The sequence below is a fragment of the Homo sapiens genome, chromosome 7 (assembly GCF_000001405.40).
Source record: "Homo sapiens chromosome 7, GRCh38.p14 Primary Assembly".
In the NCBI taxonomy this organism is placed as follows: domain Eukaryota; kingdom Metazoa; phylum Chordata; class Mammalia; order Primates; family Hominidae; genus Homo; species Homo sapiens.
In genome coordinates, this window is record NC_000007.14 from 142,401,149 (window position 1) to 142,416,699 (window position 15,551).

Consider the following 15,551-nt stretch of genomic DNA (forward strand, 5'->3'; position numbering starts at 1 on the left):
AGGAGACAAAAAGCCACAAGCCAAAAGAACAACATTCATAACGCTAGTTGCATTAAATTGTTTCAAGCCAAAACACACCATAAAAAATAAAGTTAAGCTACAGCCTGGGAAAGGCATGAGGAATGCATACAAATGATGAAAAATCAGTGTGACAGAGAACATTCAGTGTAACAGAGAACATTCAGAACATCACTGAATACCTGTAGCTCCTCCATGGTTTCTGGTCTCCCTTGCAGTTGGAGGGGTGGGAACATGTCACCAGGTTCTGAATAGTGGGATAAAATGATGTCAGCTCATTTCAAGCCTGGCCCTTAAAAATATTCTGTGGCACCATGTTGAGGGTCTCTAAATGTACTCCCATGTTTAGAGTGTTGGTATATGGCATAGAGTTGTACTCATGGCTAAGATTTATTAAAGTGTCATAGTAAATACTCTGCAGCAGAACATGTGGAGAAAACACACAGGCAGAATCTGGAGGAATTCACAGGCAGGCTTCCTTATGCTCTCTTCCTCTCAGGAGGGGTCACACAGAGCTCTCTCTCCTCCCAGCAGCAAAAATGCATTAACACACGTGCAGTGTATCTGCCAAGGGAGCCCATTACAGACTTAGCACCCAAGAGGTTTTAGTAGAAGCTGGTCACACAGGCACCTACTTTTTAGCATGAACCAAAAGTCTAGATCCCAAAAGAAAATCTGATGTTCAGCATAATATTATTTGCAACACCAGCCTAGGAACGATGAGCCACCCCTGTCAGTCAGGAGAAACTTTGCATCAGTTCAGGGCACCGTTCACCAGCCAAGCTCCCAGATGTCTGCCAGAGTCCAATCTTGCAAGCAGGACTTTCTAAGCACCGCAGTCTCCAGCCTCCTGTCAACTCTTGTGCACAGACACTCTTCAACTCTCTTTTGCCATGTCCTGAACTCGGGAGCTACACGGTACAGATTGCCTAATGATAATATGGAAGCAGCCTGGCTCACTGAGTCAGAATTTGGTGGACAATCACAGAAGAAAGCTGCTCATGCCACACTGGGCTTTGTGGTCATGGGAAGTAAGACTTCATAGAGCTATGCCAGTGAGATTTTAGGATTTGTTTTGTTTGTTTTGTTTTCTGTAGCACAGCTGTTCTTGTCTAAGAGAATTAGTATCTAGAATGAGTAAAATATTCTTATTACTTAGTATTAAGAAGACAGCTCAATAAAAATAGCAATACTGAGGCTGAGTAGGCAATTCACACAAGAGTGAACATAAGTTACCACTAAACATGAGAATAACTTCGCAACCTTACTTACAATCAGAATATTGCAACCTGAAACAGTAAGTTATGATTTCAAAATTACTAGATTGGATACTTTTCCAAGGAATGACAGTCCTACATTTGAGTAGACATATGGGCTGGTGAAAATTGTTTGTATATTTATTACAAAAGATAATTACAACTACATCAGAAAACCCACTGTGGGATATATTGTGACAAACCACATTTCTGGAAAATTTATCAATGTATTTAAATCACTTGGGTTCCTTTCATTGTCTTTAAGTTCAATAATGGAGAATGCAACTGTCAGTGTTTTTCCTATTTTGAAGGTAGTCTTTCCATCTTTTAAAAAGTATGATAAAATGCACGTAACATATAATTTCATCACTTTATTTTTTAAATGTACAATTCAATGACATTAAGTACATTCACCTTGTTGTGGAATTATCAGCATTATCCATTTCCAAAATTATTTTCATCACCCCAAACAGAAACCCTGTACCCATTAAGAAATAACTTCACATTCTCCCTCCTCTGGCAAACTCTAATCTATTTTGTATATGAACGAATTTGCCTATTTTAGATAATGAATTTACATGAAACCAGGCACTATTTTTCCTTTTGTTTCTGGCTTCTTTCACTTAGCATAACGCTTTCCAGGTGTATCCACATTGTAGCATTTATTAGAACTTCATTCTTTTTCATTCTCAATAATATTCCATTGTGTGTATATAACACATTTGTTTATTCATTCATTAGTCAATTGACATTTGGGTGGTTTCCACCTTGTAGATATTGAGAACAATGGTGCAGTCAAGATTGGCCTGGAAATATCTGTTTGATTCCTTGTTTTCAATTCTTTTGGGTCTATACCTAGGAGTGGAACTTCTGGGTCCTTTGGTAATTCTGTTTCTCGTTTTGAGTAACTACCAAAATATTTCTTTGTTGCAGCTGCACGATTTTGGATTTCCACCAGCAGTGTCCAGTTTCTTCACAACATTTCCAGAACTTGTTATTTCCTTTTCTTTTTCTTTTTTCTTTTCAAAAATATGATGATGATGATTACTGTTTTTATAGCCATCCTAGTAAGTGTGAATGATATCTCATTGCGGTTTTGATTTGCATTTCCCTAATGACTAAAGATGTTAAGTGTCTTTTCTTGTGCCTATGGGCAATTTGCATACCTTCTTTGAAGGTAATATTTATTTTATTTGATTGTGTTTTTAGAGTCGCTGTTGACTTTAGATTTAAGCTGGTGTACTGTGATGATACTAAAGGAAATTGAGATTGAGATTAAACTTCTCTTGGGCGATTTGTTGTGGCTAGTGTTTTTAGTGCAGTACTTCTGAGACATTTTTGGTATACTGTAGAAGAGAGAAATAAGTAATTTATTGATATTTCTGGGAATTAGATTTTTTTTTACAAAGAGAAGAGAGATATAAATAAGAAACGGGAAGATGAGGAAGAAATCTGTGGTGCTGACTTGAATTGGAGTTATTAATGCAAACTTAAGGTTTTAAAGATTATATATTTCCTAACTTTATCCAGAGAAGGGTCTAAAAAACAATACAAAGTAAATAAACGAATGGCTATATTTGCTTTTTTTTGTGCTCCCCAGTAACAATAGGTACATTATTTTATTCCAAATGTTATTCCTTATAAAAGGCTGCTTCCATATCAAGGGAAGGAAAAGTGTTAGAACATCTTTTGGTAGAAATCAAGAAAAAGGTCAGAACCAAGAAGACATGTCCAAAATCCACAGAAGCAATTTCAAGGGGCTCCATTAGCCAAATCCGGGTCAATGCAAGCTTTAAAGAAGAATAATGAGGATACTGAATTGTAACAAGTTATAAAAATCTATAAGGCTATAATGACAATCAAAAGAGATAGATAAGAATCTCTTCATTACGGAAGAATGCTAGTTGATATATCTAATGAGAAAATCAATGCAACCATCCACATAATTATAGACAAATTCCATTAGTAGATGCCTAAACTAACAGTTTTTGTTTCCTTCAATACTTTGAGTTATACTGTTCTACTCTCTCCTGGCCTGTTGGGTTTCTGCTGAGAAATCTGCTGAAGGCCATACTGGGGCTCCTTTAAATGTGATATGTTTCTCACTGCATGCTGCTTTTAGTATTCTTTCTTTGTCTTTGATTTTTGGTAATTTGATTATATTGTGTCTTGGTGAACTCCTTTTTGGGTTGAATTTGATTGGCAGCCTCCAAGCTTCCTGCACCTGGATGTTGCTGTCTTTCCTCAGATTTGGGAAATTTTCAACCATTATTTCCTTATATATGTTTTTGGGGCCTAACAGCATATGTACCTTGTTTCAAAGCATCAATACACAGATTATTACTTAATTACAAAGGGTAAAGGGCACATTCACAATGGAGAGATCTTGGATCAGTCATCTCAAATTAAGCATTGCCAAAATGCATAAAAATGACATTCCATATTCTTGTGATTGACCAGATGCAATGGGAAATAGACATCATCTATGGTGTATATTTTCCAAGTAATTAACCTCTAATAATATGAAAATTTTTATCGTGAGCTGTTTTACAAGTAAGCTGACCAGGACACTTCAAAAATCTATGGTCATGAAAAACAGAAAATATAATAAGTGGGTGGAGGAGATGTATCATTGAAAAGTAACTAAAGAGATCCGACAACTTCCTGAAATACATGATCTTTGATATTGTCCCAGAGGAAAAAGTAAATCAAAACCAAGGGACATGGTTTTGGTGGGGACAAACCACGGCCAAACCGCAGGCGGGGCTCTGGCAAGACAGTAGGAATAGATGGAGTTGGGAGGAACTCCCCCCAGTGCCGCGCAAACACTGTCCAATATTAGCCCTGATTCTACTGAGGACAGTGTAGACATGGCCCCAGTATTTCTGACCCATGAATGGAGGGCCTGAGCCTGGTAACTCTGAACCGTTCATTGACCAGCAGGCGGCACTAGGGTTTGCTGGGGTTGGCTTGCTTTTAAATCAGGGCTCAGTGCTGTCTGAGGAGTTAAGTTTAAAGGAAAAGTGTGACTTCATCCCAGCATCCAGAATCTAGTTTGCAGATGTTTGAGTGTCCTGTGGAATGTGAGCCATTAAACAGAAACTCTTCATCTTCCAGCAATGCCAGTATCCTCTGTTCAGCAGGGAAACCCCAACTGTAGCAAAACATTGAGTGAATAATGTTCTGGGCTTGCATCAGGGATAGATGGAGGAGAGCCAGGAGCCAGCCTGCATGCTCACAGACCCATATAAAGGGAGAACCACTTCCTCCTCAGGAGAACTCAGAGAAACCTTAGCAATTCACCTGTACCCCACACCTAACCCATTCCAGTTGTGCCCTGGATGGTGGACAGGAGGATGTAAAGGGAACATAGGAGAGGGGAGTGGACAATTCCAGACCTCTCCAGATAGGCTTAGCTCAAATAACCTTGCAAATATTCTGAATAAGAGCCAGATTTCCCAGGGCTCTGGCCTTTTCTTCCCTGAGCAGCATGATGATGCTCCATTCCTGTCTTGACAAGGATTCTGTCATGGATTTCTTGGTTGTGCTGCCCAGGAAGCAGGTGAGGCCCAGGAACAATGAGGAATGTCGTCCCTGGACTTGGCATGCCTCACTCGCAAGCACACCATATGTGGGTCCTGTGATTGATAGGTTTGATAGATGGATACGTCCTGTTTCCAGCCACCAGCCTCTATCCCCTGAATGCTGTTGTCAACTCAGAGCCACAACTCTGGTCACAAAGATGGAGCAAGTAGTGGCACCTTAATGTGAAGAAATTTTCCATCATGCAATTGTTACCTGGTGCCTACATGAGTTAGACTCAAACCAGCAGCTGTTTACCTCAGTGATAGAGGATTTATGACAGAAACAGAGGGCTCTTGTAATTCTATACCCACAGGTATTCACCTGATAACCTTCACATGTGTCCCCTAGGTTTTGGGGACTTTGAGCCTGCCTCACTGAACACATATATCCTCGTTCCCAGCTCTCTGGACATGCATCTCCTTGTATTATTGTCTTATGCCAACTCTCAGGTGCTTCATCCCCTAACTCTTCCCATCCTTTACCCCTTAGGCAATGAATAAAAGTATATTTGTGACTAATGTTGCCCCATTAGAAAAAAAATGCCAGATACTAGCCACTGCTGTTCAATTGTAACTTATACTAAATCTGTAAGGTTTTTTTTTTTTTTTTAAGATTTCAACAAATCTGATTTTAGATTTCTTTTTTCTTTTGTTTTGTTTTTTGAGACGGAGTCTTGCTCTGTCGCCCAGGCTGGAGTGCAGTGGCGCGATCTCGGCTCACTGCAAGCTCCACCTCCCGGGTTCACGCCATTCTCCTGCCTCAGTCTCCAGAGTAGCTGGGACTATAGGCATGTGCCGCCATGCCCGGCTAATTTTTTGTATTTTTAGTAGAGACGGGGTTTCACCGTGTTACCCAGGATGGTCTCGATCTCCTGACCTCGTGATCCACCCACCTTGGCCTCCCAAAGTGCTGGGACTACAGGCGTGAGCCACCATACCCGGCCGATTTTGGATCTCTTACTGTATTCACAATGATATTTTCAGGGATAAGAGAGTCCCCACCCATCTTATAAGATATCAGAACTTTCATTACATTGATGACCAAGAACCATAGGCAGAACCATGATGAAGACTTGGTACACAATGCATCATGAAGCTTGATAACAGAAAAGAGAAAGCTGGCCATTGACCTTCACCAAAAATGAACCCTTCCAACTCTCTCTCAGGGTATTATTTTACCCCTTTAGCTTAGAGCATGTCAGCTGGTTCAACATGCTTCTAGGATAAACCTGTGTCAACTACCCCAGCTCCCACTCTGTCTAAGCTCATAGCAATGAGAAAATGGAGAACCTGGTAAGACAGAAATGCCCAGAGAGAAGGATATACAGATAAGACATAGAGGTTACTAATTGTTGTCTGTATTTTGAGTTGCCTTTGACACATTCAAGTAGAAACATGCAGCAGAAGATGGCCCTGGAGATGCAGTGGGTGATCCAATCCCCCAAGCCCTAGAGATGTGAGTAAAGACACTTGGATGAACTTACACACAGTCCATGAATACGCTAAAGCAACTTCTAGCTCTGTTTTAGTTCATAACAACTGGTTTCTAAGAACTTAGGCACTTGTGGAGACAATGATGTTACTGTAGGAACTACCGTATAAGGACAGGATGTCCCACCTCCTCTGCTCCTGTTCACAAGGACCCTGAACTGGCAAAGCTCCCATCCTGCCCTGACCCTGCCATGAGCACCAGGCTTCTCTGCTGGATGGCCCTCTGTCTCCTGGGGGCAGGTGTGTCCTAAGAACACCATGATCATCCCATTGGAAATTCCAGTGATTTCTTCAATCATTTCTGTCTTTCTGTTTTCAAATTCTGTCTTTTTCCCCAACAGAACTCTCAGAAGCTGAAGTTGCCCAGTCCCCCAGATATAAGATTACAGAGAAAAGCCAGGCTGTGGCTTTTTGGTGTGATCCTATTTCTGGCCATGCTACCCTTTACTGGTACCGGCAGATCCTGGGACAGGGCCCGGAGCTTCTGGTTCAATTTCAGGATGAGAGTGTAGTAGATGATTCACAGTTGCCTAAGGATCGATTTTCTGCAGAGAGGCTCAAAGGAGTAGACTCCACTCTCAAGATCCAGCCTGCAGAGCTTGGGGACTCGGCCATGTATCTCTGTGCCAGCAGCTTAGCCACAGCGTTGCAGAGACTTTCTGTCCTGTGCACAAAACTCCAGGGCTCTCTCCGCTCTACTCAGCTCACAGCAGCCTTTCCTTATTCCTCATCCTCTCAGGGAAGAAGTGAGTTTTCAGATATAGCTAGGGTTCATATAGTGGGAGGAAATGAACTATTTTCTTAAAACATGAGCGCTATAGTTGTTGGTTGAAAACATGTCTTAGGGATTTGAAACACTTCTGGGTGGGAATTCAAGAAACCAAAACTGAAAGTGATTTATCCCAGACCTAGTCCTCAGGGGCAGTGATGGTTGTTCTTCTATAAAAAATGCACACAATGTTGTACGTTAATTAAGAAAATAAATAAATAAACTTGAAAAATAAAGACATTTAATCACCAAAACATGTGTGTTAAACTTTAATAATATAGATATTGATTACATGCAAGTAACAAACAGCAGGCCCTCCTTCTGCCGTTGTCAGCATCTGAATGATGTGAATCTTATCTGGCTCTGGAGCCTCTTCTTGACCTCTCACTGGATGTTTCATGCAGTCAAATCTCAACAGACACTGTGTGTTTGGAAATCTTTTCCCTCTGTTTTTGTGGAAATATGACAATAATAATAATATTGTAATGATGATGATGTTGATCATTTCAGCTATTTCATTCAGCACACTTTAAACTTCAAAGAAATGCACACAAATGGTTATCCTGGAAACAATTCCCAAATCTTAACTCAAAATGAATTTTGCTTCTCTGGAGTGCTTTAACTTTTCAGTGTAACAGACACAGCCCAACACTATAATTAGGCCTGGGCCAGCTAGTTCAGAGGCTGGTGAAGACACTTCCACCTGCCTGCCTACTTCCTTGTCTGCCCACTAAAATAGCTCCTTAGTGCATTAGATATTCCTGCCAGAACTTCAGAAGCAATGAGTTGCCCCTGGTCCAGTTGTCTCCTCTGATAATGCACTGTGTGTGTCCAACTCTAGTCTCTACCCTAACTTCTGCCCAGATTCTCCTGTACTAGAACTCATTCTAAAGTACTGGTTAGAATGTTTGGGAAGGCAGCTTCCTGGGAATCCTCCGAAGGACCATGGCTGTCAGTGATTCCCTCGTAACACTTCTTGAGAGCATCTTGTATTTCATTGAACGTAGGACTCCCATTTATTTCAGTCTGTCTGCTCCTGTTCACCTCTGAGATCTCTGTGGCTTGTTTGTGTTGATTTCCTTTTGTGCTGCTTCTTGGTCATTTGTTTGTATTTTTCCTTATAAACCTGATTATTTTTGACATCATGCCAGACACTATGGTTGTAGAAATAATTTTTGGTCTAGGATGGACATATCTTTCTCCAGAGATAATTTTATTGTGTTTTGTAAAGTGCATGGATACATAAACAATCCAGGACTCCCTGAAAAAGAGTTAAAGGCTTGAGGTGTCCTGGAGCCCCTGGAGAACAGGTTTCCTACTAGTTCATTGTTTCAATTCAAGTTCCTCAGTGGTCACCCTCAGTAAGTTCTGGTCTTAGCCATTACCCCCCAGCCTGTGAATCAGCTTCCTGAGAGCTGGGCTGGGATCAGCAAATGCCCCTAAGGGCAGTGACTGCTGTGTTCACTCCCCCAGGCTCCTGCCTTCTCCAAGATTCTGGACCAGTTATCCCTCATAATGTTTTTGGGATATTAATTAGTTTCAGTTTTTGTTAGTGTGGTAATTTACCCAACTATTTAAATAATAACAGAAGGGTTAATTTTGTTACAAGAAAGGGGTCCTGATCCAACCGCCAAGAGAGGGTTCTTGGATCTCATGCAAGAAAGAATTCAGGGTGATTCCACAGTGAAAAGCCAAAGCAAGTTTATTAAGAAAGTAACATGGTGAAAGAACAGCTACCCCATAGACAGAGTAGGGCTTTCCCAAAAGTAACAGGAGGAGCGCATCTACCCTAGGTACAATACTTGTTTATATATAGGATAAGAAAAGATCGTTGAGAGATGTGCTCTGCTACAAGGGTTTGTGATAAAGGATTAACTTTCTTAATTACTATGTTTTGCAAGAATCAGTATTATTATCTTTAAAGAGAAATTAGGAATGTTTCTGTTCCCAAGATATTGGGGTATCATGACACTCCCAAGTCTGGGTCTGTTTAGTAAACATTATTAATCTGTTGCTTTAACCATAAACATCTAGAGGTTAGGGATACCTGATTTTCTGGGAATGCAGCCCAGCAAGGCCCAGCCTCATTTTTTCACGTAAGATGGAGTCACTCTGGTTTGAACGCCTCTGACAATTTGAGTTTCCTCTTCTGTAATTACTCAGATGAAGGTCAAAGAATTTCATTTAAAGTTTTAATTTTCTTTGAATTTCAATGTCTGATTCTTAGTCTGTGATTTGCTTGATATTTAACTTAAATAGCATAGAGGAATGTTTTACTGAAACTTTAATTTCGAGGAAAGAACTTTTTTAAAAACTTGAAGGGGATTTATAATCAAATTGGGACACTCACTTGGTTTTGACATTTTATCATTTAGAGTATTATTATGTTGTTAATTACATAACCTTCGATGCTTCATTCGAACAGGGTAATGAGAATAGAGAGTAAATATTTAAACTTCATCAGATCTTTGACACACCTGACAAAAACAAGCAATGGGGAAAGGATTCCCTATTTAATAAATGGTGCTGGGAAAACTGGCTAGCTATATGCGGAAAACTGAAACTGGACCCTTTCGTTACACCTTACACAAAAATTAACTCAAGATGGATTAAATACTTAAAAGTAAGACCTAAAACCATAAAAACCCTAGAAGAAAACCTAGGCAATACCATTCAGGACATAGACATGGGCAAAGACTTCATGACTAAAACACCAAAAGCAATTGCAACAAAAGCCAAAATGGACAAATGGGATCTAATTAAACTGAAGAGCTTCTGCACAGCAAAAGAAACTATCATCAGAGTGAACAGGCAACCTACAGAATGGGAGAAAATTTTTGCAATCTATCCATCTGACAAAGGGCTAATATCCAGAATCTACAAGGAACTTAAACAAATTTACAAGAAAAAACAAAGAACCCCATAAAAAGGGGGCGAAGGATATGAACAGACGCTTCTCAAAGGAAGACATTTATGCTGCCAACAAACATATGAAAAAAAGCTCATCATCACTGGTCATTAGAGAAAGGCAAATCAAAATCACAATTAGATACCATCCTATGCCAGTTAGAATGGCGATCATTAAAAAGTCAGGAAACAACAGATGCTGGAGAGGATGTGGAGAAATAGGAACGCTTTTACACTGATGGTGGGAGTGTAAATTAGTTCAACCATTGTGGAAGACAGTGCGACGATTCCTCAGGGACCTAGAACCAGAAATACCATTTGACCCAGCAATCCCATTACTGGGTGTATATACCCAAAAGATTATAAATCATTCTACTATAAAGACACATGCACATGTATGTTTATTGCAGCACTCTTCACAATAGCAAAGACTCGAAACCAACCCAAATGCCTATCAATGATAGCCTGGATAAAGGAAATATGATACATATACACCATGGAATACTATGCAGCCATAAAAAAGAATGAGTTCATGTCCTTTGCAGGGACATGGATGAAGCTGGAAATCATCACTCTCAGCAAACTAACACAGGAGCAGAAAACCAAACACCGCATGTTCTCATTCATACGGAGGAGCTGAACAATGAGAGCATATGGGCACAGGGAGGGGAACATCACACACCAGGGCCTGTTGGGGCGGGGGGGTCAAGGGGAGGGATAGCATAAGGAGAAATACCTAATGCAGATGACGGGTTGATGGGTGCAGCAAACCACCATGGCACATGTATACCTATATAACAAACCTGCATGTTCTGCACACGTATCCCAGAACTTAAAGTATAATAAAAATAAATAAATAAAATAAAGTTGATCAGAGAGCAGAGAGTGAACATGGAATTTACTTCATTCCTGCACTGTCGTGACTCATTTGTGCCATGTTTTGTGAGCACACCTGAGGGGCAGGGGTCAGAATTGGAGGGAGTCACAGGTGTGTGGCTATCATCTTTTCCTTCCCAGTCCCCTGGAAAGGTGCTTGGTTCCACATTTTCCATTTGGGGGAACTTCCCTAAAGTGATACACTGGTTTTTGTCTATTATTTGCCAAATGTTTCTTATGGGAAGTGAAATAAGTTATCTTATTTAGTCTCCTCTTCATCTGAGGTTAGTCTCTCTTCATCATCATCCTTTCATCCTGGCTACTGAGAAAAAAAAGTAGATTCTTTTGGTGCTTTTTCAACATACACTAAGATCAGTGGAGAACTTTCTTTCCTTACAGGGTTGGCCTGTAGTTTGCAGGGGAGAGAGAATGGATTAAATTCTGATTCAGAATAGTGTGGGTTGGCCTATTTGCTCTCCTATCTGAGCACTATTAGTTATTAACACTGATATTTTATCTCCACTTGTCTGACTTCAATGTCCACCTCTCAGGTGGTTCCATCTTAGGCCATAGCAACATTAAGATTGCTTTCTGACCTTCTAACACCAACAAATCATAATTCCCATATCTCCATGACTCAACAAAGCAAAGCACAAGTCCCCTGTGTCCTGGCAAGAGAGCAGATTTGTGCTGTTTCTGCCTACTGGCCACAAGGAGGCACTGTGGCTTTGTTGTCATCAGAGTCAAATGGGGAGGGGCGAAGATGGCTCTCTGGAAGATTCTTAAGGGAAACCCTGGGTTTGGCCCTAGATTCAGGGAGCTGGGCTGTCTGGAATGAAGGCTGGGAATGAAGGAATTAGAGACCAACCAATTTGCCTGTATTGTTGTGGAGAAGGGTTTTGCTCTAAACTGAGCTCTGAATGGGGCTGAGTGGCAGGTGTGCTTGCAGTGGATATATGTCTGAGCGCCCTTAAGATGTGGAGGCACAAGTAGCTGGGGTGGTGCAGTGCCCAGGTTCTGGGCTGGGAAAGCAGAGAAGCAGTTTTCATGTTACAGGAGCCTTGGAGAGCCTGGCCCCAAACCCCCAAACCAGCTCAGGCCAGCCCTACCTGCTCTGTTAAAAGTAGAAGGAAGAGCAGGGAGAGACGGAGGTGCTACCCTGGACCATCGGAGGGACCCTGTTCCCCAGGGAGGGGGCAATCACAATTACAACACCAGTAGCATATACACTTATTAGGCAGACACCAGGGTGGAGTAGAACAGAGTTTTCTCCACCAAGACCTTTTGCTCTCAGCAGGAAAATGGCCCAGTCTATTAATAGTTCACCTCTGCTACTCACTTCAGACTCCTGTGTGTCCCCTGGAAGAAGGTGGGGTCTGGGTAGAGATAGTACCTTTTCTTTTGGCTTGAATTAAAGTTCTTTCCATATGACTCGTTCATTTGCCTCTACCTGTATCTTGTATCTAGCTTCTGCCTCTTGTATTCATGTGTGCCTTGGACACTATAAAGTATTTGATTTCTACTGCTGCTGTAATGAATTACCACTGATTTTGGAGGCTTAAACAAAATACATTTGCTACCCTACAATACTGGAGGCCAGGAGTCCAAAATCAGTGTAACTGGGCCAAAATCAAGGTGTTGGCAGGGCTGCGTTCTTTCCCAGAGCTCTAGGGGAGAACTGTTTTTCTCCCCTTTTCAGCTTCTAGAGGCTACCAGCATGTCTTGGCTTGTTACCCCATTCAATCTTCGAAACCAACAGGGACTGACTGAGCCTTTGCTCATGCTGCATCACTCTGACACTCTTTGTCCTCCCTCTTCCACATTTTAGGACCCTTGTGACTACATTGGACCCGCCTGGAAAATCCAGGACACTCTCCCAGTATGAAGGTCAGCTGATTGACAACCTGACTTTGTGTGGAACTTTAATTTTTCTTTTACAAGTAACTTAACACATTCCTAGGTTCCAGAGATTAGACCTGGACGTGGTTGGAGGGCCTTTGTTCTGCCTACCAAACCTAGGAACTTGGTAAGAGGGAGGAAAACAAAATGATCACCTGGAAACCAGAATACTGACCACCGTTTTACATCCCAGGCCTAACAGACACAAAAAGGGATGGAGCCCACAAAGAAATAGACACCTCAGGTCTCACAAGCTCGTCTGTAAACTATTTGCTCCTTAGGATCGGAAAGTACTCTGGGGTGCAGGGGACTCAGCAGTATGCCTCTGTGCCAGCAGCAAAAATGTGGCCCTAAACTGCTCCTTCTTGGTTAGCAATTAACCCAGTTGACCAACCCACAGAGCAGAGGCTTCTCTCAGCTCTGTACACTCTACACCCTGAGAGGAAGTCGGCTTCTGAGATGCAAGACTCTTTTATAAGGAAAAGTCCAGTTGTAAAGATTAAGAAACTTTGAGCTTTGCTAGAGGTAAAAATAGGATGTAAGTCAACTCTGGAGCATTTAATTTCCAAATGTTTATGAAAAAGACAATCTTCTTCCTGTTTTATTGTATGGATAGAGAATGAGAGAGATTCTGTACTCTGGGCTTTGCAAACTCACTAGAGTTCAAGAATAAATACACTCAGAGAGGTCTTTCACTGCAAAGAAGAGCTTTGAAATCGAATGAACTTTCAGGATATCAGTTCGGCTCCTGTATCTCTAACAACGCAGTTGACATGCTTGCCCTTCCTAGGGATCTCAGGGGCCAACTCCTAACTCACTTGTGGATAATTGAAGTGCATTCAAAGGAGTAGGAGCACAGAGACATCAGGGAGAGGAATAGGAGAGTTTGCAGAGAATCTGGCTTGCTGTAAGACAATGAGTTCATCTTGAAATAATTGGAGTGTGAGGTGCAGATGAATATAGTTGGCAAGATCCTAGGTAAGATATACTATAGAGAAGGCTTTATGAATTGGTAATATCAAGACAAATCCACAGAGAGCCTCCGTAGGTGTGCATTTGTGTCTCAGATCAATTATAGTTCAGTCCTGCCTGATTCATCTCCCAGAGATGCAGCCTCCACTTAAATAAGGAGCTTTCAAATTGGAGGTGGTGGCCCATTCAGTGACGTCACTGACAGATGCATCTTGTGTGGATAAAATGTCACAAAATTAATTTCTTTGTTCATGCTCACAGAGGCCCTGGTCTGGAATGTTCCACTTCTGCTCTCACTCTGCCATGGGCTCTTGGACCCTCTGTGTGTCCCTTTATATCCTGGTAGCGAGTGAGTTCTCCGATATTTATTATGGTCATGCTGGACCTCTGTCTAGATGACTCCTTATATTTTCCTTATTCTTTCCCCCAATTCTGTCTTCTTTTATAGCACACACAGATGCTGGTGTTATCCAGTCACCCAGGCACAAAGTGACAGAGATGGGACAATCAGTAACTCTGAGATGCGAACCAATTTCAGGCCACAATGATCTTCTCTGGTACAGACAGACCTTTGTGCAGGGACTGGAATTGCTGAATTACTTCTGCAGCTGGACCCTCGTAGATGACTCAGGAGTGTCCAAGGATTGATTCTCAGCACAGATGCCTGATGTATCATTCTCCACTCTGAGGATCCAGCCCATGGAACCCAGGGACTTGGGCCTATATTTCTGTGCCAGCAGCTTTGCCACAGCACTGCAGAATCTCCCCATCTCTGTGCAGAAACCCTGGTGCTTCCTCTTCTCCCCACAGCTCTCAGCAGTCGTCAGCAAAGTCTTTCCTGCTCTCTGCTCACCATGGCTCACGCCTATAATCCCAGCACTTTGGGAGGCCGAGGTGGGTGGATCATGAAGTCAGGAGATCGAGACCATCCTGGCTAACACAGTGAAACCCCGTCTCCACTAAAAATACAAAAAATTAGCCGGGCACGGTGGCAAGCGCCTGTAGTCCCAGCTACTCGAGAGGCTGAGGCAGGAGAATGGCGTGAACCCGGGAGGCGGAGCTTGCAGTAAGCCGAGATCGTGTCACTGCACTTCAGCCTGGGCAACAGAGCAAGACTCCATCTCAAAAATAAAATAAAATAAAAATTAAGTGGGTTTGGAGAATGACAAAGACAGAAGATGGTAGGATATTAACATAAAAAAAATCATGTGTAGGGGATAATGTAGAAAATGTGTTTTGTGAATTTCTCACAAATTGTCTAAGGAGTCAGAATTCACAGGCATGTAAGATAAACCTTAATTACCCCCACTGTAGGTTTCCTTGTCTCCAGGTATTTGCCATCCGCATTAGCAAGCTGAGAGCTCCTGAGAATGGCTATGTCTTTTGAACTAGTCTGCCCTCTGCATTCTATTTTCACCCTAAGCTGTGAACAGAAATTTCCCCCACAAGTTTTCTTGATTGTAAAAGAAAGTTCTTTTCTATGGCATTCCTTATAATGTTAATTTCAACTTACCATTTATATAGGGATTTTGCATTGCACTTAAAGAGTAAACCTCCTGTGGGTAATACAGGCAGTGAAATAGGTTAGATGTAAGCTGCTCCTCCTGGACTCTAGGGATCTATTTGTCTTTATCCTGCTTAAGGAGAGCCAAGTTCTAGCTGAAGGCCTGTGCCAACTCACAGGACACTGACGTGGTCTCTTCCACTGCCTGCTTGGAGCTATCCACATGTATCCACACAGGCTGTCTAAAAGCACACAGGCCTGGCCAGTCTTACTTT

The 15,551-nt window shown here is 41.8% G+C and overlaps 1 pseudogene, 1 gene segment (V, D, J or C) and 1 further gene, besides 6 other annotated features; all 3 read left to right on the forward strand.

The window, feature by feature from the left end:
• Positions 1 to 15,551, forward strand: part of TRB (T cell receptor beta locus) — a 514,277-nt gene that overhangs the window by 102,138 nt on the left and 396,588 nt on the right.
• On the forward strand, positions 6,541 to 6,988 carry TRBV11-1 (T cell receptor beta variable 11-1). The segment is given in 2 exon segments: positions 6,541 to 6,589; positions 6,691 to 6,988. Coding segments are annotated over 2 exon segments (347 nt in total), but the record flags the coding sequence as incomplete, so codon positions are not given.
• Positions 6,989 to 6,995: a recombination feature (RSS_heptamer).
• Positions 6,996 to 7,018: a recombination feature (RSS_spacer).
• Positions 7,019 to 7,027: a recombination feature (RSS_nonamer).
• Positions 14,076 to 14,518, forward strand: TRBV12-1 (T cell receptor beta variable 12-1 (pseudogene); annotated as a pseudogene). Its single transcript is given in 2 exon segments — positions 14,076 to 14,121; positions 14,221 to 14,518. Coding segments are annotated over 2 exon segments (344 nt in total), but the record flags the coding sequence as incomplete, so codon positions are not given.
• Positions 14,519 to 14,525: a recombination feature (RSS_heptamer).
• Positions 14,526 to 14,548: a recombination feature (RSS_spacer).
• Positions 14,549 to 14,557: a recombination feature (RSS_nonamer).